Here is a 6172-nt window from a genome sequence, read left to right on the forward strand (position 1 = left end):
ATTTGGCATGTCTTTGAGCTCTACTTTAGTGTCTACTAATTTCATGTTATGTTATTTGAACTTGTGTGTGTATATATGTAAAATATATTATTAAGTCTTATTGTTTTAAAAGTTTTCTGGTTATGATCATTAGTTTATGATTTGGTATACTCTCTGGTTTTTAATAGTTTAAATGTCATTTTTATGGAATATAAAATAAACAGCATAGTTTTGGGCTAGGTTCTACATACAATACTAATTTATTGCAAAAATCAACATCTACATTGTCACTATCTAATTACAGGATGTTGTGTCATTTAATTTTCTCTTTACCTTGCTACGTGGATGCCCTTTGAACTGTAAACATGTCACCCTAATCTTTGTTCATGAACATGCTTTCCTGTGCCATGAGACAGGAAAAGTATTTTTATTCATAATACTATGGGATTGCCTTCAGGGTCTTTGAATATTTTGTGATTTGTTGAGTTCTTTTGTTTGGTGGTTTTGTTTTAAACTGTTACACTTTTCATTTGCTAACTGAACTTCACAACTGTTTTAGTCCAAGACAGGCCTTCCACTTAGCACTTACTTCAGTGCAGTGAAACTTCGTTGGCTCCTTGACAATGTGAGAAAAGTTCAAAAGGCCGTTGAAGAAAAACGAGCTCTTTTTGGGACTATTGATTCATGGCTTATTTGGGTATGTTTAAATATAATGGATATATGGAGAATTTTTTCAGAAATTTTTTCTAGACTGCCTTGCCTATTGTTTCTACTAGCAGGTCAGACTTTTTAATTAGCAGCATTATGAAGAAAAACCACTCAAAAAGCAACAGGAGAAGTTTTCAGCTTCCATTCGAGAAGCATTTTTGCCTACTTCCTCTTTATTTTTTCTTGTCTTACTTCAGTGAAAATGAAGGATAATTACCAAAACTGTATCTAATATCTATTATCTTTAGGATGAGTAATTTAGATACCCTTTCCCTATTGTCTGTTATATACTCCTTTCCCACTAGCCATGTCTTAGACGAAATAACTATTTAGCAGGATAAAATACCTAGAGTACTTTTATCTTTTGCTTTCAACATTACATAACTGTCTCTTGTATAATCAAGCCATAATATGAAACTAAATCATAGTGGAAATTTCTATTTAGAATCTTTTTGCCTAAGCTGAATACACAGCAATCATCAACCTATGGCCAATCTTATTTCTACTATACTCACATATTCTTTCTCCCCACAGATAATTTTAAAACAAATGCCAGACATTTCATTTTATTTGTAAATATTTCAGTAAGTATGTAATGATCTTTTTTAACATTCAAGGGAATGTCAAGGAAATATTGTCCCCACTCTCACTTGACAGATCCACAGAGCAGGTCTTTCAGAACCCATATCAGAAAGAGGCACCTTCTTCACCTCTCCATGTGCTTGGCCAGGGCAGAATGTGCTTTGTGTTCATGGCCAGCCATTTTCACGTGTGTCAGTCACAGTTGAATGAGTACCTTTGACAATTGCATCGAACCAGAGTAAGGCAAGATGTGGAAACTGTGAGCTGCAGGAGACTCAAGGGAGCACATTTTGGCTATATCCCACTGGATGCTGTTTATTGACCTTTGTTCCTTTCCTACCTCTTATTGCTTCCATGTAAAGGAAAGCAGCAGTGCCTTCAGTTCAGGCATGTGGGTACACCTGAGAAAGAAAGTTTAAAACTCTCCTTTCAGGATATATGCTTAGGTGAGTGTAGATAGCATAATGCGAATTGTTATTTAAACAACAACAGCAACAACAAAAAAAACCAAAGAGATAACAACAACACACAATTCTCTAATAATCCTTATGAGGCAGATATTTCCATTTATTTCATCTCGCCGAATTTAATAAGACTCTGAGTTTTCTCAACATAATAGGATGAAAACAAAACCGATTTTTTATTTATCCATCAAGTAACTGGAATTGTGCTGATAAGGTGGCCACTAGCCACATTTGGCTATTGAGCACTTGAAACATGATCAAATTGAGGTTTGCTGTAAGCATGGAATATACACCAGATTTCAAAGACTTAGTACAGAAAAAAGAAGGTAAAAAAATGTAATGTTCCGTTCTTTTGCTTTATGTGCTCTGCTGATTATGACCCTTAACAATATGTAAATTAAATTGCCAATAAGTACAAATTTAACCTGATTTTTTTACTCTGCCTAGAGTTTGACAGGAGGAGTCAATGGAGGTGTCCACTGTACAGATGTAACAAATGCAAGTAGGACTATGCTTTTCAACATTCATTCTTTGGAATGGGATAAACAACTCTGCGAGTAAGTTCTGTTTTGCTCTAAATATAGTTTTCCCAATACACTACCTATTTATAACCGAAATCTTAATATTTTCAGATGTCAGTGGAGCACCAAAATTTAACTGTTGATATTTCAACTACAATATGCAAATCTATGTTATGTGTTTTTTAAAGAGAGACTATTATTGCATTTATAATAAACAGGCCAAATTAATTATTCTTCACGGAAGTTTAGGTTCCTTTATAAAAGTACTTTGGTTTCTGTGTGCTTTCTAATTTTTATTGATTGGCTTGCATAAAGTTAGAATGTTAAATATCTAAGAATACAGCTATGTTCTGTTGGCTTACGTATTTATTGCTATCTAACTCCATGCTCAAAAACATCCATTTCTAATTGTTATTTATGCTTTTTGCATTTAAATACATATAAATGTTTCTAGATGTCTATTTAAAACAGTGTTAAATACCCAATCTTCTTGTTTTTCAGATTTTTTGGAATTCCAATGGAAATTCTTCCAAATGTCCGGAGTTCTTCTGAGATCTATGGCCTAATGGTAAAAAACAAACAAACAAACAAAAAACACACCAAAAAACCAAAAAACAAACAAAAAAAAACCTAATAATTAAAGTTTTTTTATTACAAAACAAGTTTACTATTCATAATTCAAAAGTCAACTGTGTTATGTTTTGTGACTTAAAAACTTTACAGTCCTTTTTACAATGGATTTGCATTTATAAACTTTAATTGGTTTTTCTTTGAGTATTATTATTTTTAAAGAATTGATGGGATACTCTAACTTTAGATGTTGGCATGAGCCAATTTATTCTTTGAATCCAAATAACTGTTTAGTGGTTGTGATGTCTGCTTTTAATTTAGCGGAGAGACTCTGCATATTTAGTAGTGTTCTTTTTCCCGTTGAATCTTTTTTATGGCCAAGCTATGTTATATATTAGATTCTTTGCCTGAGCAAAATTTAGCAAAGAAACTGAAAGCAAAGAGTCTGTTTCTGATTTGGGATTGCTAATTAAACTAGTTTCTGTAATGGACATTTTTACTTTTGATTTCACTGAAATCCAGTAAAGACATAGCTTCAGCAAAAGTGTGCCTAGCATCATTAAGAGTCTGTGGTTAAACATCAGGAATGAAAACCTCTAGGAGGATTTGCACTGGTGTTTGAGCACAAAAATCTGGAATTTATGATAAGACTCAGGAATAAGTCTGATAAATTACAAAAAGTATTGCTTAGACATTTCATGAAAGATATGAGAAACTTCACTTACAAAGTTAATAATAATATAGATGAACACTAAGTGCTCTGGATAAAGCTTGAGCAAGAATTTTTAACTGTTTTATTTATAATAAAGCTTTTTAAGGCAACATAGAATTTCTTAAGGAAGCCATAGTCACTGCTTATCTACAGTAAAAGTGCTTTGATCATTTCATAGCTGTCTGCAAACTGACTTGGGTCAAGGAAAAAGAAACGATGCTTGAGAAATAGTTTCACAGGATGGTTAGAAAAAAAAACGTGGAACTGGCCTAGTTTTCTCTTGTATTTAAAATATTATGCTTCTATCCTTCTCTCTCCCCCTTGCTGACTATAGAAAATCTCTCATAGCGTGGTGAGTAGGTTGCCCGCCAATTATGTACCCATTCATTTGGAAAAGATACAGTGCACTTCCATTTATTTTTAGACAAGCAGAAGTCCATTTACTAAACATATATATCTAGAATTTCCGTGACCTTCCAAATTATTATAAGCTCTAGTCAGATTTTAATTTTTACAAAAACTTAATCTTGTTTGTTTTTAAAGAGTAATGTTCTAAAATAAAAGACTAAGGTAGTTTCCTGGAATGAGAGATTCTGATATTCTCATAAAGTACAACTGTGATGTGCTTTGGGCTTTACCATAATAGGGCAATTAGATAGATACAGTTTGAAATGTCTATTTTAAATGATATATTGACCACCTTTCCAGACCAGTTAGTTGGAAATGCACTGTTACTTTTTCTGCATGCTTCATCAAGGATGCTCCAGGAGGAGCATCAGAGGTCCCTCCCTCTGAAGAAAAAAGAGCACTTTACATGCCTGAACACACATAGTAGATCCTGTTGATAGTTTGTTAATTTTGAAAGTATAAGCAAAGACTTCTTGTAATACTTAAATATATCAAGATATATAGCCTCTAGGTTTCCTATAGATTCACTTTAAGCCTTTTATGAAATTTACCCTTTACTTAATATCCAGGTTCAGATTTTCAAAGAATATATACAGTAAATGAAAATAGCAGGTTTTGCTGGGCACGGTGGCTCACGCCTGTAATCCCAGCACTTTGGGAGGCCGAGGCGGGCGGATCACGAGGTCAGGAGATCGAGACCATCCTGGCTAACATGGTGAAACCCCGTCTCTACTAAAAATACAAAAAAATTAGCCGGGCATGGTAGCGGGTGCCTGTAATCCCAGCTACTTGGGAGGCCGAGGCAGGAGAATGGCGTGAACCTGGGAGGCGGAGCTTGCAGTGAGCCGAGATCGCGCCACTGCACTCCAGCCTGGGCGAGAGGGAGACTCCGTCTCAAAAAAAAAAAAAAATTAGCCGGGTGTGCTGGCACATGCCTGTATTCCCAGCTACTCGGGAGGCTGAGGCAGGAGAATCACTTGAACCCAGGAGGCGGAGGTTGTGGTGAGCCGAGATGGTGCCATTGCATGCCAGCCTGGGCAACAAGAGTGAAACTCCATCTCAAAAAAAAAAAAAAAAAAGAAAAGAAAATAGCAGGTTTTGAATTAACCAGAAAACAAGAAAGAAATAAAATGATACCAGCTATCTAGAGGACATTTTCTATTTTGTAAAGGGTTTCTACATTTATGCTATTATTTCTTCATTATCATAGCTATGTGAGGTGAATTCTATTCTTGCCCTCACTTTAACAGACGGGATATCTAAAGCTCCCAGAGCCTGGGAGACTTGCTCATACATGGCAGACCAAGGAGTCAGGTCCAAAGCTTTAGTTTGGTGCTCATCCTAGTACATCACCCCTACTTCAGGGATTTTATATATATATATATGTTTTATATATATGTTATATATATACATGTTATATATACATGTTATGTATAACATGTTATATATACATGTTATGTATAACATGTATATATACAACATGTTATACATAACATGTATATATATAACATGTTATATATATATATACACACATACGTTTTATATATATATATACACACACACTTTTTTTTTTTTTTTGAGACGGAGGCTCACTCTGTCACCCAGGCTGGAGTGCAATGGCATGATCTTGGCTCACTGCAACCCCGCCTCCTGAGTTCAAGTGATTCTTCCACCTCAGCCTCCTGAGTAGCTGGGATTACAGGTACCCGCCATCATGCCCGGCTAATTTTGGTATTTTTGTGGAGATGGGGTTTCACCATGTTGGCCAGGCTGGTCTTCAAGTCCTGACCTCAGGTGATCCTCCCACCTCGGCCTCCCAAAGTGCTGGGATTACAGGCAGGAGGCACAGTGCCCGGCTGGGGATCCTATTTCTTAGTTCTCCTAATTCCTTAATATCATTAAATATTGCCTTGAGTTAATGTGTCTTTTTTTAAAATTAAGGTTGTCAAGTCTACAATCAGCCACTTAAATCTCATTTTTCTTCCTAGAATGCTGGCCATCATGATCAAAATAAAAACCAGTATTTATGACATAAATTAACTGTTGCTTATCTAAATTTGAAGAAAGATGTTTGCTATGAACAAATAATATACAATACCTGAACACTCTTGTGTTTAGAGCAGCTTGAGTAGAAAGAAAAGTTGCTAAAATATGGCCTTGCAAAATAAATGTGTTTCATACTGGTTTGATAGCTATTGGAAGAATATATTAGTCATTTCTTAATAATG

The 6172-nt window shown here is 35.1% G+C and overlaps 1 protein-coding gene across 15 annotated transcripts in view; it reads left to right on the top strand.

The window, feature by feature from the left end:
- The window catches only part of GK (glycerol kinase), a 78040-nt gene that overhangs the window by 40439 nt on the left and 31429 nt on the right, over window positions 1–6172 (top strand). For 8 of the 15 annotated variants that reach the window (NR_174369.1, NR_174370.1, NR_174371.1 and 5 more), the window contains 4 exons: window positions 539–676; window positions 2181–2290; window positions 2756–2822; window positions 3871–3888. Coding sequence is in view for 8 of the 15 variants with exons in the window: in XM_011545491.3 (XP_011543793.1) it covers window positions 539–676; window positions 2181–2290; window positions 2756–2822; window positions 3871–3888 (333 nt within the window). In the remaining 7 variants the exon portion in view is untranslated. The remainder of the gene's footprint in view (window positions 1–538; window positions 677–2180; window positions 2291–2755; window positions 2823–3870; window positions 3889–6172) is intronic. The other 7 variants (NR_174373.1, NR_174372.1, NR_174375.1 and 4 more) reach the window with 1 other exon arrangement.

Source organism: Homo sapiens, chromosome X (genome assembly GCF_000001405.40).
Source record: "Homo sapiens chromosome X, GRCh38.p14 Primary Assembly".
Lineage (NCBI taxonomy): Eukaryota > Metazoa > Chordata > Mammalia > Primates > Hominidae > Homo > Homo sapiens.